This window comes from Homo sapiens, chromosome 11 (assembly GCF_000001405.40).
Source record: "Homo sapiens chromosome 11, GRCh38.p14 Primary Assembly".
Classification (NCBI taxonomy): Eukaryota; Metazoa; Chordata; class Mammalia; order Primates; family Hominidae; genus Homo; species Homo sapiens.
In genome coordinates, this window is record NC_000011.10 from 47,889,149 (window position 1) to 47,906,898 (window position 17,750).

A 17,750-nucleotide genomic window follows, 5' to 3' on the forward strand; every position below is an offset into this window, starting at 1 on the left:
AGCAGCTCTTCTATTCTTTAAAAGTGTTGATTTATAGAAGAATAGATTTTAAATGTTTTCACCACAAAAAAAAAGATTACTATATGAGGTGATGAATTTGTTAAGTAGCAGGATTGAATCATTCCACATTGTGAACATATAGCAAAACATCATATTGTACCCCATAAATATATACAATTGTTATTTGTCAATTAAAAATAAAATAATGAGGCCAGACATGGTGGCTCACACCTATAATCCCAGCACTTTGGGAAGCTGAGGTGGACAGATCACCTGAGGTCAGGAGTTCGAGACCAGCCTGGCCAACATGGTAAAACTGTGTATCTACTAAAAATACAAAAATTAGCTGGGCGTGGTGGTGCACACCTGTAATCCCAGCTACTCTGGAGGCTGAGGTAGGAGAATCGCTTGAACTCAGAGGCAGAGGTTGCAGTGAGCCAAGATCATGCCACTGCACTCCAGCCTGCGTGACAGAGTGAGACTGCACCTTTAAACAAACAAACAAACAAACAAAAAACATATATATATATATATATGTATAAAAGATACTAATTTTCCCTAAGGGGTTACAGAAAGCTTCTTAGAAGAGATGTCCCTTGGGCTGAAGAGGAGATAGCCAGGGGGAAAAGGGAGTGAAGGGTATTTCAAGCAGAGGAAACAGCAAATGCTCAGGGAACAGCAAATGCAAAGATGCCATGGGAACTGAGAACATGACAAAGAGTTAAGCATGGCTCGTGGCAGGTATGTGGAAGACTGGGTAAGATGCAGGAGTGGGTGGCAAGATTCAATGTAGCTCTTGCAGACAGACTGAGCCAAAGCCTCCGTTGCATAACTGTTTCAGAGAGGAGTTAGCATGCAGGTATTGTAGAAAAATACCTGTTTGGAATGATCTTTAGTCTAGAGAAGGTACCATATCAAGAAATCCATTGGCATCATCCTGAACCAGAACTTATATTTCTCCTCTTGCCTGGGTTTACTCTTTTCCCCTCTCTCTTTAGCATAGCTGCTTCATCTTTCTCTGAAAGAAAATGAAGTCTCGGCATTGGCAGCTTTTGATCCAGTGTTCATTTGATCTGGTTGATTCAGGAAACAGATGCATCCTCTTGGTCTCAGCACAAATCACTGGGGTTTCTTTCTTTATTATTATTTTTGTTTGGCGAAAGCCAGATCTATGTCTCAATCAGCATAGAGGAAAAAAGTAATTACTGAAGTATTAGTGTTATTATTATTTCCTGATATGAGCTGCTGCATTCCTTACTTGTATCTGGTTTTCTCCCTAGGCTGAGGTCAAAAAGTTTAAAACAAATCCTTCTTGGATAAAGCCTGTATTAATTATTTTTAACCTTGTTTGCATTGGAGACCTCTTTGAGACGTTAATGAAAAAGATAAACCCTCTCCTCAAAACAAATTCACCTTTTCCTATACCCACAAGATGTAACATGGTTTCAAGAGATTCGCAAACCTCTTAAAGCCCCTGAGGACCCTTAAGGAATCCATAGACCTTGGTTAAGAAGCTCTAAACAGTTAAAAATAACATAGAAGAGGGCCTGGCGCGGTAGCTCATGCCTGCGTGGTGGCTCATGCCTGCTATCCCAGCACTTTGGGAGGCTGGGGCGGGGTGGCGGGGGGCGGTGGATCACCTGAGGTCAGGAGTTCGAGACCAGCCTGGCCAACATGGCAAAACCCTGTCTCTACTAAAAATACAAAAAATTAGCCAGGCCTGGTGGCAGGTGCCTGTAATCCCAGCTACTTGGGAGGCTGAGGCAGGAAAATCACTTGAACCAGGGAGGTGGAGGTTGCAGTGAGCCAAGATTGTGCCATTGCACTCCAGCCTGGGCAACAAGAGCAAAAATTCATCTAAAAAAAGTATATATATATATAAAATATATAGAACTGCTTGTTGAAATTGAACTGTGCCAGGTGCCTGCTAATTCTGGTGGTATGTTTTGGAAAGTCAAAATAAATCTGAATTGTATTGGCCATATAGTTGTTGAAGCCTCTGCTATAGATTAGATTCAGTGGGCAGAGTTCAGTACTGCCAATGCCCCCACCGCCATGAAAACCCAAACATGAGTAAAGGTCCCAGAGAGAGAAGGAAGAGGAGCAGAAAATAACTTGAGACTTTTCATATTCTAAAGTTAAGTCCTTAGCCTTGGCGTCAGAAGACTTTGTTTTATTTTTTAATTAATTAGTTTATTTATTTTGAGATGGAGTCTCACTCAGTTGCCCAGGATGGAGTGCAGTGGCGCAATCTTGGCTCACTGCAACCTACACCTCCCAGGTTCAAGCGATTCTCCTGCCTCAGCCTCCAGAGTAGCTGGGACTACAGGCCAGCGCCACCACGCCCAGCTAATTTTTATATTTTTAGTAGAGATGGGGTTTCACCATATTGGCCACGCTGGTCATGAACTCCCGACCACAGGTGATCCACCCGCCTCAGCCGCCCAAAAAAAACCTTGTTTTAATATTAGCTTTACCAGTTTCTACCTTTGTAAATTTTTTTTTTTTTGAGATGGAGTTTTGCTTTTGTTGCCCAGGCTGGAGTGCAATGGCGCGATCTCAGCTCACTGCAACCTTTGCTTCCCGGGTTCAAGCGATTCTCCTGCCTCAGCCTCCCCAGCAGCTGGGATTACAGGCATGCACCACCACGCCTGGCTAATGTTGTATTTTTAGGAGAGACAGGGTTTCTCTATGTTGGTCATGGACCTCATGTGATCTGCCCACCTCGGCCTCCCAAAGTGCTGAGATTACAGGCATGAGCCACTGAGCCCGGCCTTCTACCTTTATAATTTTGTCAAGTCATTTTAGTTTTCTGAATATCAGCTTTCTCACCTGTAAAATGGGGATGATAATAATAATACCCACCTCTCAGGGCTGTTGTGAGGACTTAATGAAGCAATGCGTGTGAAAGTATTTACTAGACATCTGGCTCACAGATGGTGCTTGACAGATGTTAACTAAAATCCAATTCTTCCCGGGTGGAGGAAGCCCTTTTAGAGATCTTATGTACCAGAATAATTTTGGTGAGGGACTTCTGGTTTCCAGTCTGGCATGTAAGGAGCTTAGAAGTCACCTCTCTGTCCTTAAAATAAGTAAAAACTGAACAAACTTAAAAATCAACAACTCCCTCTCCCTCTCCCTCCCCCTCCCCCTCCCCCTCTCCCCTTTGCACGGTCTCCCTCTGATGCCGAGTGGAGGCTGGACTGTACTGCCGCCATCTCGGCTCACTGCAGCCTCCCTGCCTGATTCTCCTGCCTCAGCCTGCCGAGTGCCTGGGATTGCAGGCGCGCGCCGCCACACCTGACTGGTTTTCGTATTTTTTGGTGGAGACGGGGTTTTGCCGTGTTGGCCGGGCTGGTCTCCAGCTCCTGACCGTGAGTGGTCTGCCAGCCTCGGCCTCCCGAGGTGCCGGGATTGCAGACGGAGTCTCGCTCACTCAGTGCTCAACGTTGCCCAGGCTGGAGTGCAGTGGCGTGATCTCGGATCGCTACAACCTCCGCCTCCCAGCCGCCTGCCTTGGCCTCCCAAAGTGTCGAGATTGCAGCCTCTGCCCGGCCGCCACCCCGTCTGGGAAGTGAGTAGCGTCTCTGCCTGGCCGCCCATCCTCTGGCATGTGAGGAGCCCCTCTACCTGGCCGCCCAGTCCGGGAAGTGAGGAGCGCCTCTTCCCGGCCGCCACGCCGTCTAGGAAGTGAGGAGCGTCTCTGCCTGGCCGCCCATCATCTGGGATGTGGGGAGCGCCTCTGCCCTGCCACCCCGTCTGAGATGTGAAGAGTGCCTCTGCCCGGCCATGACTCCGTCTGGGAACTGAGGAGTGTCTCTGCCCCGCCGCCACCCCGTCTGGGAGGTGAGGAGCGTCTCTGACCGGCCCCCCCCCGTCTGAGAAGTGAGGAGCCCCTCCTCCCGGCAGCCGCCCCGTCTGGGAAGTGGGGAGCCCCTCCACCCGGCAGCCGCCCCGTCTGGGAAGTGAGGAGCGTCTCCACCCGGCAGCCGCCCCGTCCGGGAGGTTGGGGGCAGCCCCCGCCCGGCCAGCCGCCCCGTCTGGGAGGTGGGGGGCGCCTCTGCCCCGCCGAGACCCCGTCTGGGAGGTGAGGAGCGTCTCTGCTCGGCCGCCCTGTCTGAGAAGTGAGGAGCCCCTCCGCCCGGCAGCCACCCCGTCTGGGAAGTGAGGAGCGTCTCCAGCCGGCAGCCACCCGGTCCGGGAGGGAGGTGGGGGGCAGCCCCCACCCAGCCAGCCGCCTCGTCCGGGAGGGAGGTGGGGGGTCAGCCCCCACCCGGCCAGCCGCCCCGTCCGGGAGGGAGGTGGGGGGCGCCTCCACCCGGCCAGCCGCCCCATCCGGGAGGTGGGGGGCGCCTCTGCCCGGCCACCCCTTCTGGGAAGTGAGGAGCCCCTCTGCCAGGCCACCACCCCGTCTGGGAGGTGTACCCAACAGCTCATTGAGAACGGGCCATGATGACGATGGCGGTTTTGTGGAATAGAAAAGGGGGAAAGGTGGGGAAAAGATAGAGAAATCAGATTGTTGCTGTGTCTGTGTAGAAAGAAGTAGACATGGGAGACTTCATTTTGTTCTGTACTAAGAAAAATTCTTCTGCCTTGGGAAAAAAAAAAAAGAAATGAAGGAGAAATAAGCAGTTTCTCAGATAAACAAAAACTACAGGAATTTGTCATCAGTAGGTCTGCCTTTCAAGCAAGGTTAAAAGAAGTTCGAAAAACCAGATCTACATGAAGAAAGGAAGACAGGCTAGGCACAGTGGTACATGCCTGTAGTCCCAGCTACTTGGGAAGCTGAGGCAGGAGGATCGCTTGAGCCCAGGGGTTCAAGTCCAGAGTCCAGCCTGGGCAACATAGCAAGACTCCATCTCTAAAAAATAAGAAAAAAAATTTTTCTAAATGAGAAAGGAAGAGCATTGGATCAGAGAATGAATAAATGAAGAATAAAATATTTTTCTTATTTTGTTTTAAATAGAGACGGGGTTCTCCCTTGTTGTCTAGGCTGGTTTCAAACTCCTAGGTTCAAGTGATCCTCCCACCTCAGCCCCGCAAAGTCCTGGGATTACAGGTATGATCCACTATGCCCGCCGCTTTTCTTATTCTTAACTGATCTAACAGATAACAGTTTCTTCAAAATAATAGCAACAATGTCATTGATTATGTACGGTTACATGTATATATATGTGTGTGTGTGTGTTGGTATGTTTGTGTATGGTTGAAATAAATGACAGTAATGATACAAGGGATGGGAGAGAGGAATTTAAAAAATATTTTGTTATTATAAGATGCTTGCACTACCCATGAAGTGGTATAGTGTTATTTGAAAGTAGACTTCGATTAATTGTCAATGTATATTGCAAACTCTAAGGCAGCCACTAAAAAACAGTAATAAAAGAAGTATAATTGATATGCTAAGAAAGGAGAGAATATAAAATACTCAATTAAAACCACAAAAGGCAGAAAAAGTATGGAAAACAAAAATAAGAACAGAGAACCAGGGCAAAAAGTGGAAAACAGTAACAAATACAGTGGATATTATCCAACTAGACCAATAACATCTTAAACATCAATGATCTAAATACACCAAGAAAAAGAGATTGTCACAGTGAATTTTAAAAAAGACTCTCTGATTGCTGTGGTTGATATGTTAAAAAAGAAAAAAGAAAAAAAATCTCAACTACATGTTGCCTATGAGAAACCCACTTTAAATATAAAGATACATATAGAGTAAATGTAAAGTGATGGAGAAAGATATTGCATGGTAACACTAATCAAAGCAGACAGTAGCTATAATTAATTTCGGACAGAGCAGTCTTCAGAGCAAGAAAGTCGTCAGAGATAAAGAGAGGCATAACATAATGACAAAGGGGCTAATTCCCCAAGAAGACATAACAATCCTTAATGTGTATGCACTAACAATAGAGCATCGAAATATGTGAGGCAAAACTGATAAAACTATAAAGAGAAATAGATGAGTCCACTATCATGGTTGGAGATTTTAACACCCCTCTACCAGAAATAAATAGCAGGCAGAGAATCAGTAAGGATGTAGTTGAACTCAATAGCGCCATCAATCAACTGAATATAATTGACATCTATAGATTACTTCATCCAATAAAAGCAGATTACATGTTCTTCTCAAGCTCACATGGAACATTCATCAAGATAGACCACAATCTGAGCCATAAAAAACACTTTAGCAAATTTAAATAGAAACCATACAATGTCTACTGTCAGACCACAGTGGAATTAAACTGGAATCCCATAACAGAAAAACAGCTGAAAAATCCCCAAACAACACATTCCTAAACAACATATAGCTCAGGGAAGAAATTTCAAGAGACAGCTGAAACTATTTTGGGCTGGGCACGATGGCTCACACCTGTAATACCAGCACTTTGGGAAGACAAGGCAGGCGGATCACTTGAGATCAGGAGTTCAAGACCAGCCTGACCAACATGGGACAACCCCGTCTCTACTAAAAAATATCAAAAATTAGCCAGGTGTGGTGGTGTGTGCCTGTAATCCAAGCTACTTGGGAGGCTGAGGCAGGAGAATCGCCTGAACCCGGGAGGCAAAGGTTATAGTGAGCCACGATCATGCCACTGTACTCCAGCGTGGGCAATGGAGCAAGACTCCATCTCAAAAAAAAAAAAAGCGATTTCGAACTAAATGAAAATACAACTTAACAAAATTTATGGATGCATTAAAAACAGCACTTAGAGGAAGATTTATAGCATTGAAAGCATATAGTAGAAAAGAAAAAAGGTCTAAAATCAATAATGTAAACTTCCGCCTTAGAAAACTAAAAAAAAAGCAAATTAAATCCAAAGTCAGTATAAGAAGAAAAATAATTAAAATCAGAGCAGAAGTCAATGAAGTTGGCAGCTGGGCATGGTAGCTCATGCCTGTAATCCCAGCACTTTAGGAGGCCAAGGCGGGCGGATCACCTGCGGTTAGGAGTTCGAGACCAGCCTGGCCAACTTGGTGAAACCCTCTCTTTACTAAAAAATACAAAAACTAGCTGGGTGTGGTGGCACATGCCTGTAGTCCCAGCTATTCAGAAGGCTGAGGCAGGAAAATCGCTTGAACCCGGGAGGCGAAGGTTGCAGTGAGCTGAGATCGCGCCACTGCATCACTCCAGCCTGGGTAATGGAGCAAGACTCTGTCTTGAAAATAAATAAATAAATCAATGAAGTTGAAAACAGGAAATTAAGAGAGAAAATCAACAAAACCAAAAGCTGGCTCTTTGAAAAGATCGATAAAATCAATAAGCCTCTAGCCAGTCTAGGAAAAAAAAAAAAAGATACAAATTACTAACATAAGAAATGAAAGTGGAGATATTATTACAGACCCCATTGTCATTAAAAGTATAACAAAGAAATATTATGAGCCACTCTATGCCAACTCTCTTAGTCCACTTTCTACTGCTATAACAGAAAACCACCGGCTAGGTAATTTATAAAGAACAGAAGTTTATTTGGCTCGTGGTTCTGGAGGCTGGGAAGTCCAAGAGCATGGTGCCAGGATCTGGTGAGGGTTATCCCATGGTTATTCCATGGCAGAAGGTATCACATGGTGAGAGAGTATGCGAGAGAGAGACAGAGACAGAGACAGAGAAAGACAGAGAGAGAGAGAGAGAGAAAGGGGGCTGAACTTTCTTTTTTTTTAAAAAAAAATAAGTAATCTGCTCCTGCAATAGCAGCCTTAATTCATTCATGAGGGTGGTTTCCCCTTGACCTAACACCTCTTAAAAGTCCCACCTCTCAACATCATCACAATGGCAAATAAATTTCAACATGAGTTTTGGAGGGGACTTCAAACCATATCATCCATGAATTTGATAACCTAGATGAAATGGACCAATTTCTTGAAAGAAACAATCTGCCAAAACTCACATAAGAAGAAATAGACAATCTGAATAGGCCTATATCTATTAACCCTTTTCTCACTTAGAAGGAAAAAAAAAAAACCAGCTCGCTGCCTGTGCTCATTTAATTTTACATAAACATGCTCTTTCAGACTGAAGCAAATCTGACTGATTTTCAATGTGAAAATAAAATATAAAAACTGTTCTTGCAGTTATTTCCAAACGGAATTAACATAAGAATCTGAATAATCAGAATTGTCTGTTTTGGAAAAATTGGATTCATCAAATGAATCTTCAGCCAACAACTGTTCGAGAATAATGTTAACATCATACGTATGAATGTTACATTTTCTAGGATTTGGCATTTTCAGCAATCGAGAATTACTATATTTTCTAAATGGAAATACGAGTACTAAAAACAGAATGCTATAAGTAGAATGATATCTTTTGTTGCCAAAGTCAATATACTAGAGTGAGGCAAAAATAATAATAAAAGCAAGATATTTTGTGGCAAAGTTATCTTGGGGGTAAATACTGCAGTCACAAGTGCCACTGGTGAGTATTCTCGGGGCATATGGGAAAAAGGTTAAGGAAATTGAATCAATAATAACTTTCCAAAACAGCACCAGGCCCAGATGGGTTCACTGATTAATTGTACCAAAAATTCAAGGGAGAAATTTTACCAATTCTCTACAATCTCTTCTAGAGATAGAAGCAGAGAGACCAATCCTAATTCATTCTATGAGGCCAGTATTACCCTAATACCAAAACCAGACAAAGACATTAGAGGAAAAGAAAACTACAGACCAATATCTCTCATGAACATAGATGCAAAAATCTTCAGTAAAATATTAGCAAATCAAATCCAATAATGTCAGAAAAGAATTATACACCATAACCAAGTGGGATTTATCCCAGGTATGCAAGACTAGTTCAACATTTGAATATTAATTAATATAATCTATCACATCAGTAATTGTGCCACTGCACTCCAGCCTGGGCAACAGAGCAAGACTCCGTCTCAAAAAAAAAAAAAAAAAAAAAAGAAAAAACTCTCAGCAAGCTAGGAATAAAGGGAAACTTCCTTAACTTAAATAAGAACATCTATAGGCCGGGCACAGTGGCTCATGCCTGTAATCCTAGCACTTTGGGAGGTTGAGGCGTAGGATTACTTGAGGTCAGGAGTTTGAGATCAGCCTGGCTAACATGGTGAAACCCTGTCTCTACTAAAAATACAAAAATTAGCCAGGCATGGTGGGGGGCAATTCCAGCTACTCGGGAGGCTGAGGTAGGAGACTTGCTTGAACCCTGGAGGCGGAGTTTGTAGTGAACCAAATGTGCCACTGCACTCCAGCCTGGGCAACAGAGTGAGACTCAATCTCAAAAATTAAATAAATAAATAAATAAATAAATAAATAAATAAATAAATAAGTAAATAAAAGAACATCTCTAAAAACCCCCCAACCAGCATCATACTGAGTGGTGAAAAACTTGAAACTTTCCTGCTAAGATCAGGAATGAGGCAAGGCTGTCCGCTCTCACCACTGTTTTTCAACATTGTACCAGAAGTCCTAGCTAATGCAACAAGACAAGAAGAGGAGATAAAAGCTATGCAGATTGGGAAGGAAGAAATATAAATGCCTTTGTTTGCAGATGACATGATTGTCTATGTAGAAAATCCAAAAGAAGCAACAACAGCAAAAACCTCCTGGAACTAATAAGTGATTACAGCAATGTTTCAGGATGCAAGGTTAAAAACAAAAGCCAATCACTTTCCTAAGTAGCAGCAATGAACAAGTAAATTTTTTTTTTTTTTTGAGACAGGGACTTGATCTGTCACTCAGCTGGAGTGCAGTGGCATGAATGTGGACCACTGCAACCTTTACCTCCTGGCTCAAGTCATCCTCCTGCCTCAGCCTCCTGAGTAGCTGGGTCTGTAGGCACATGCCACCATGCATGGCTAATGTTTTAATTTTTTGTAGAGATGGGGTCTCACCGTGTTGCTCAGACTGGTCTCAGACTCCTGGGCTCATGAACCACTGCCTGTAATCCCAGCCCTTTGGAAAGCTAAGGCAGGAGAATCACATTGTCACCTAGCCCACAAATGGAATTTGAAATTAAAAACACATTACCATTTACATTAGCATCTCAAAAATGAAATCCTTAGGTGTAAATCTAGCAAAGCATGTACAAGATCTACATGAGATCTGGGTGCAGTGCTTCATGCCTGTAATCCCAGCACTTTGGGAGGCTAAGGTGGGCGGATCACCTGAGGTCAGGAGTTCGAGACCAGCCTGGCCAACATGGAGGAACCCCATCTCTACTAAAAAATACAAAAACTAGCTGGGTGTGGTGGTAGGCACCTGTAATCCCAGCTACTTGGAGGCCGAGGCAGGAGAATCACTTGAACCTGGGAGGCAGAGGTTACAGTGAGCCGAGATCAAGCCACTGCACTCCAGTGTGGTGTGGGCCACAGAGCGAGATTCCATCTCAAAAAAAAAAAAAAAAAAGAAAGATCTACATGAGAAAAGCTACAGAACTCTGATGAAAGAAATCAAAGAAGTATGATAGGTAGATAGATATTCCATGTTCATAGATAGGAAAACTCTGCTGCAAGCCACACTGGTGCCCTAGGAACATACTTCATCCTTCAACTGAATAAGGCAGCACTGAATTCCCCAAATACACATCCCAAAGTCATAATCAAGGAAGTCAGGAAGAGTCTTTTGGTGGGCATGAGCATCATAGTCAGGTTCTCAGACACCAGACTGGTTTCCTCTGAGGGTTTGTTATCAGAATTCCTGCTCACAGGCCACTGTCCTGGCCAGGCTGCACCTTCCTCTCTTTGCATCCTGGCAGCAGCCACATCAGTGGGTGCAAGAGGCTCATGTGACCCCATGTAACCTGCCCCTTGGATGTGTCGGCCATCACAGGTCTCAGGTGCCTTTTGTCTTTCTAAAGCAGAACTGAAATTTCACCTGGGCAGTCCGCTTTAGAGACCACAGAACTTTCATTTCCTTTTTATTCTAGGGAGAAAGTACTGAACACTATTATCTCACCAAGAGAAAGTGGGTACTGGGTGAGTAGAGGCTGGGTGGGGCTTGGTTCACACCTGTGGTTCCTAACCCAGCAAATCACTGAAATCACCTAGAGGAACTTATTATGATGCAGACTCCTAGTCTCTGCCTCAGACCTGCTCTGGGATAGGCGTAGAGGGCAGGGGTCTGTAATTTTTTAAGTGCCCACCGAATGATTCTGATGACCCTGTAGACTTGGGAACCACTGGGGTAGAGAAATAAGGCCACTTGCTCCTTTCTGCTCAAGGGTATTCATGTTTTCGTGCTTCCTTATTTTTGATGACATTTCCGTCTCAATGCTAACTCCTATAATGTTCAAACATACCTTTATTATGTCATATGATATCATATACATTTCCATATTTATTTCCTTGACCAGTTGAGCTCCTCAAGTGTGAAAGGTGTTATTCACCTTTGTTTCCTGCACTCAGGGTTACCACATACAGTCGAGCAGGTTATTCACTGTACAAAGGAGCTTATCATGGAAGGTAGGTTGGGCTGTAAATGGCGCTAAAATCTAGCCTGATTCACCAAGCATGAGCCCTGATTTTGGCCTCTGAAAGTCTAGAGGGAGGCCAGGCGGGGTGGCTTACGCCTGTAATCCCAGCACTTTGGGAGGCAGAGGTGGGCGGATCACCTGAGGTCAGGAGTTTGAGACCAGCCTGGCCAACATGGCGAAACCCCATCTCTATGAAAAAGATAAAAAATTAGCCGGGTGTGGTGGCAGTTACCTGTAATCCCAGCTACTTGGGAAACTGAGGCAGGAGAATTGCTTGAACCTGGGAGGCGGAGGTTGCAGTCAGCTGAGGTCATGCCACTGCACTCCAGCCTGGGCGACAGAGCAAGACTCTGTCTAAAAAAAAAAAAAGAAAGTCTAGAGGGAAGGATAGATAGATAGATAGATAGATAGATAGATGTATATATCTATATACACACACACACACACACATACATAGATATAGATATAGATAAAGATATAGATATAGATTTTTTTTTTTAAGAGACAAGGTCTCGCTGTGCCACCCAGCCAGGACGGATTGCAGGGGCAATCATAGCTCACTGCAGCCTTGACCTCCCGGGCTCAAGTGATCCTCCGACCTCAGCCTCCCGAGTATCTAAGACAACACATGTGCACCACCATATCCAGCTAATTATTCTTGTTATTTTTTATTTTAAAATTTTTTTGTAGAGACAGAGTCTTGCTGTGTTGCCCAGGATTTTGAACTCTTGGCCTTAAGTGATTCTCCTGCCTCAGCCTCCCAAAGTGCTAGAATTACAGGCATGAGCCACCATGCCTGGCAGATACCTTTTCTAATTGAACAAAGGTGCTATATGTCTAGGGCTGGCTCTGTCTGCACCCGGATCACCTGAGGTCAGGAGTTCGAGACCAGCCTGACTAACATGGAGAAACACCGTCTCTATTAAAAACACAAAATTAGCCGGGTGTGGTGGCGCATGCCTGTAATCCCAGCTACTTGGGAGGCCGAGGCAGGAGAATTGCTTGAACCCAGGAGGCGGAGGTTGTGGTGAGCCGAGATCATGCTGTTGCACTCCAGCCTGGGCAACAAGAGCAAAACTCCATCTCAAAATAAATAAATAAATAAATAAAATAAAATTTAAAAAACAGACGACTGGCATACAATCCTGCTGGTTGCTGACTGATGATAATATTTGAGTCTGTGCAATATTTGAGTCTGTCACAAAAACTGAGCATCTATTCAAGGAAGGCACAGAGTTTAGTGCCTTTAGTAGAAGGTAGGTGATTAAAGACTGTTTGTTAAATTGAACAGAAAGCCTTTTCCCCCTTCTCTGTCTCTCAGAATCTTCTCATTCTTCAAGGCCTAGCCCCAATATTAATTTTTCTAGGAGAAGTCTTCTTCCAGCTTCAATCCATTGCCTCTTTCTTGGAGGTACAGCAATGCCTGGTTTATATCTCTAGAACAGCACTTTTGTGGTCTGACTTACATTGGAGTTGGTCTCTGCCATTGATCTGTGAATCCTTCATAGGCAGAGCCACCATATTCAGCTCTTTCAGTCTTGAGTGTTTAGGCAGCCCAGTGAAAATTTATTAAATGAATGTATACCCAACTCTAAATGACCCTTCAGACTCTGGCTTTCACCAGATCCTGTAAAAAGATGCAATAGCTTTCATCTCTGTTACCTGAAACTGGAAGTGCAATTTCAGAAATCAGTGCTAATTCAATTAATTACATACATATATGTGTGTGTCTTTATGTATATATGTATATGTGAATACATGCATGTGCATGTATGTATACATATAAACATATATGTTAACATCGCATATATTAATAACAGCTTTGTAGGCAGCACTGGGCCTAGTTAGATAGGTGATTCAGGCCGGGTGCAATGGCTCATGCCTATAATCACAGCACTTTGGGAGGCTGAGGCGGGTGGATCACCTGAGGTCAGGAGTTCGAGACCAGCCTGACCAACATGGAGAAACCCCGTCTCTACTAAAAACACAAAATTAGCCAGGTGTGGTGGCGCATGCCTGTAATCCCAGCTACTTGGGAGGCCGAGGCAGGAGAATTGCTTGAACCCAGGAGGCAGAGGTTGTGATGAGCCGAGATCATGCCATTGCACTCCAGCCTGGGCAACAAGAGCAAAACTCCATCTCAAAATAAATAAATAAATAAAATAAAAAAAATTTAAAAAACAGGCGATTGGCATACAATCCTGCTGGTTGCTGACTGATGATAATATTTGAGTCTGTGCAATACTGGGTTACAGCTGTGTGTGATGGAGTCTGCATATTGGTTCCATTGATGCAGTAGATAGTTCTCGGGTGGCCTCGTATCTGAAAATTTTAAATAAGTCCTGCTCCAGGGCTAATTTTTCTCCTTTCTTTCCAGGAGGGAGATGTAGGAGAGGGGATGACCCCCATAATGGCAGGAGAGCCTCCTCATTGGCCTATGTGGATCCTGAGATGAACAAATAATGTGAGACATGGTAGTGGGAAGTAAAACGTACCCAACTATGGCCAAACTTTGGTACGTTGTTAGGAAAGATCAATGCTTTTTTTTTTCTTTTCTTTTTTTGAGACAGAGTCTCGCTCTATTGCCTAGGCTGGAGTGCAGTGGCTCCATCACCTCTCACTGCAACCTCCGCCTCCCAGGTTCAAGTGATTCTCCTGTCTCAGCCTCCCGAGTAGCTGGGATTACAGGTGCCTGCCACCATGCCTGGCTAATTTTTGTAGTTTTAGTAGAGACGAGGTTTCACCATGATGGCCAGGCTGGTCTTGAACTGCTGGCCTCAAGTGATCCTCCCACCTCAGCCTCCTGAGTAGCTGCAACTACAGGTGCGCACCACCATGTTTGGCTAATTTTTTATTTTTTGGTAGAGATAGGGGTCTCATTATGTGGCCCAGGCTTGTCTTAAACTCCTGAACTCCCATCTTGGCTTCCCAAAGTGGTGGGATTACAGGCATGAGCCACTGCACCTGGCCCAAGTTAATATTTTTTGCCACAAAAGTAAAAATGTAATTTTATAATGTTGCTATGGTTTGAATGTTGGTGTTTCTCCAAAATTCATATGTTAGAACCTAATACCCAATGCTACAGTCTTAAGAGATGGGGTCTTTGGGGAAGTGATTAAGTCATGTGGGCTCTGCCCTCATGAATGTGATTAGTGCTCTTATAAAAGCAGCTGAGTCCAGGCACGGTGGCTCATGCCTATAATCCCAGCACTTTGGGAGGCCAAGGCAGGCGAATCACTGGAGGTCAGGAGTTCGAGACCAGCCTGGCCAACATTGTGAAACCCTGTCTCTACTAAAAATACAAAAAATTAGCCAAGTGTGGTGGCACACGCCTGTAGTCCCAGCTACTCAGGAGGCTGAGGCAGGAGAATCGCTTGAACCTGGGAAGTGGAGATTGCAATGAGCCAAGATGGCACCACTGCACTCCAGCCTGGACAACAGAGCAAGACTCTGTCTCAAAAAAAAAAAAAAAAGAAAGAAAGAAAAAGAAAAAGAAAGTGATTGGAGGAAGCTGCCCTCCACCTCCACCATGTGAAGATGCCACAAGAAGATGTCATCTTTGAAGTGGAGAGCCCTCATCAGACATCACATCTGCCGGCATCTTGATCTTGGCCTTCCCTGCCCTCCAAATGTGAGTAATAAATTCTGTTGTTAATTACCCAGTCTAAGGTATTTTGTTATAGCAACCCAGATGGACTAAGTCAAATGCTATTCACAAACAATTGCAAAAGTTCAACAGCAATATCAATTGAGTCTAAAGTGGACTCTAAGTGACGTGGTCCATTATTGAATTTAATCCTACCAGTGTAGCAGGGTGAATCTACGTGTAAGTTCTTTCATAGATGATGCCAAAAGCCTGAATTTGAGGTCTTTTTCCATGTGAAGGCTAGATTAAATGACTCTCATCTCCTCCCCTAAACCATATTAGACTTGCCTAGCAACAAAGAGAGAACTTCATTAGGATGTGTTCATTAATGGGAGCTGAGGGCGTCAGGTGAAGAGGCTCTCACTGATGGAATCAAATTGCTGGGAGTGGCTGGGTGCAGTGGCTCAGGCCTGTAATCCCAACACTTTGGGAGGCCAAGGCGGGTGGAGCACCTGAGGTCAGGAGTTCGAGACCAGCCTGACCAATATGGTGAAACCCTGTCTCTACTAAAAATACAAAAATTAGTCGGGCATGGTGGCGGGCGGCTGTAATCCCAGCTACTTGGGAGGCTGAGAAACGAGAATTCTTGAACGCAAGAGGTGGAGGTTGCGGTGAGCCGAGATCGCACCACTGCACTCCAGCCTGGATGACACAGTGAGACTCCATCTCAAAAACAAAAAACTGAAAAATGCAAATTGCCGGGAGGGTATCTCAAATGGCACATTGGGCAAAAAAGCATGGACAGTGTGACAGGAAACCTTGACCATTCAAATATGCAAATTGTGGGGATTGCGTGGGCTCCGACTGGTAGTACAAAGTAAAGAGAAAGTGTTTCAAATTCGGGCACAATTAGAAAAGCACAATTGGAAAAACAAGATTGTTCTTTTTTGTTGTTGTAAGTGAATTAAAAAGTTTATTAGCCATAGAAAAAAACTGACTCCTCTAAATCAATTATTGATAAATCCCCTGTAAAACAGCAAGCTTACAGAAAATTTCTCTCATGAACGGATAGTCACTATACTTTTGGTCCAAGAAATGATGGGTTTTTTCCTCCTTCTTCAGATGACAGATGGATGTAACTGAATCTACAAACGAGTGTACTTGCCCCAAATGTGCAACATAAATACAGAAGAGATGAACAGAAGGCTCATAACCAATACTGGAACAGGACCAACTTTGAGCCCAGGTGAATCTTCTGTGTAGAATCGCCACATCCGCCATGTGCCTGCCGAGGTCGTGCGGCCTGCGCTCCTTGTCCCACAGCTGGCATTTTTCCTCTGCCGGACAGTGGATCTTGCTGCCCGGGCGGCCACGGCTTTGCTGGGAGAGTGTCCTGAGGATCCCACATTAGTGCCACTGGGGGTCGGACCAGGCATGCTGGAGATGAGGGTGGCAAGGAGCTGACGCTGACGGAAGGAAAGTTGCGGAGCCCCCGAAGGACCCGCAGCTGGCGAGACTGCCAGGAATGTTCTTAGAGAGTCATTTTGGCTTTCAGACCAAGTGAGTTCTTGGGCAGCCTCCTCTTGAGTTGGATGTTACGTACGGCAAATGGAATGTGCCATGGCTATAGGATAGGGTCAATGAGGGCAGTTTTCCAGCAAATCAAGTTCTTGTTTATGAACATTCTTCCTCCTTTGGATATGAAGTCATATGCTCTTCTGGGGGCCCTCTCTAAGTCATACCGGAAGAGGTGGAGACACATGGCAATCTTTGAGGTCAGGCAGACGGAGAAAAGCCCTAGGCAAGGTAGAATTTGTGCAACTGTAATCTTTGATAGCCTCACAACGAACTCTGATCCTGGTCTCAGACTGACCCATAATCCTAAACAAAGGGAGTAATCAAGGGGAGGGCAAGTTACGTTTATGTTGTGGACCAGGGGTCAGCAAACTCTTTTATAAAAGGCCAGAAATAATATTTTAGGCTTTGTGGGGCATATAGTCTTGATCACAGCTGCTCAACTTTGCTGTTGTAGTACAAAACCACCACAGGCAGTAAATAAATGAGTGAGTGTGGCTGTGTCCTAATAAAATCTTATTTGCAAAAACAGGTGGCAGCAGGCTGGGCATGGTGGCTTGCGCCTGTAATCTCAGCACTTTAGGAGGCTGAGGGGGGCGGGTCGCTTGAGCCCAGGAGTTTGAGATGAGCCTGGACAACATGGCGAAATTCCGTCTCTACAAAAGAAAAAAAAAGCAAAAATTAGCTGGGCATGGTGGTGCACTCCTGTAGTCCCAGCTACTCAGAAGGCTTAGATGGGAGGATCACTTCATCCCAGGATGTTGAAGCTGCAGTGAGCCAGTGATCATGCCACTGCACTCCAGCCTGGGCAACAGAGTGAGACCCTGTCTCGAAAACACAAACAAACAAACAAACAAACAAACAAATGCAGATGGCAGCAGGTTTGGCCCACAGGTCATAGGTTGCTAAACCTTACTCTGTAATACCACAAGCAGAAAACTATGCATCTCCAAGAAATACCAAATCTGAAATAAGATGACAGAGCATGCAACTCCATAAAAGGGACCCCCCAGATTAAGCAGTCTTAAATCTCAGATCTGACTGTGTGTGTATGGTGGCTCACACCTGTAATCCCAGCACTTTGAGAGGCTGAGGTGGGTGGATCACTTGAGCTCAGGAGTTCGAGACCAGCCTGGGTAACATGGAAAAACC

At 44.6% G+C, this 17,750-nt stretch overlaps 1 pseudogene, besides 1 other annotated feature; it reads right to left on the reverse strand.

Moving 5' to 3' along the window:
* On the reverse strand, positions 15,980-16,541 carry LOC100287189 (SEC61 translocon subunit beta pseudogene; annotated as a pseudogene).
* Positions 16,549-16,843: an enhancer, noted in NCBI's record as "tiled region #14057; HepG2 Activating non-DNase unmatched - State 24:Quies, and K562 Activating non-DNase unmatched - State 7:EnhWF". NCBI's record gives its function as "activates a minimal TATA promoter and a strong SV40 promoter by Sharpr-MPRA in HepG2 and K562 cells {active_cell/tissue: HepG2 | K562}" and the evidence as "EXISTENCE:reporter gene assay evidence [ECO:0000049][PMID:27701403]".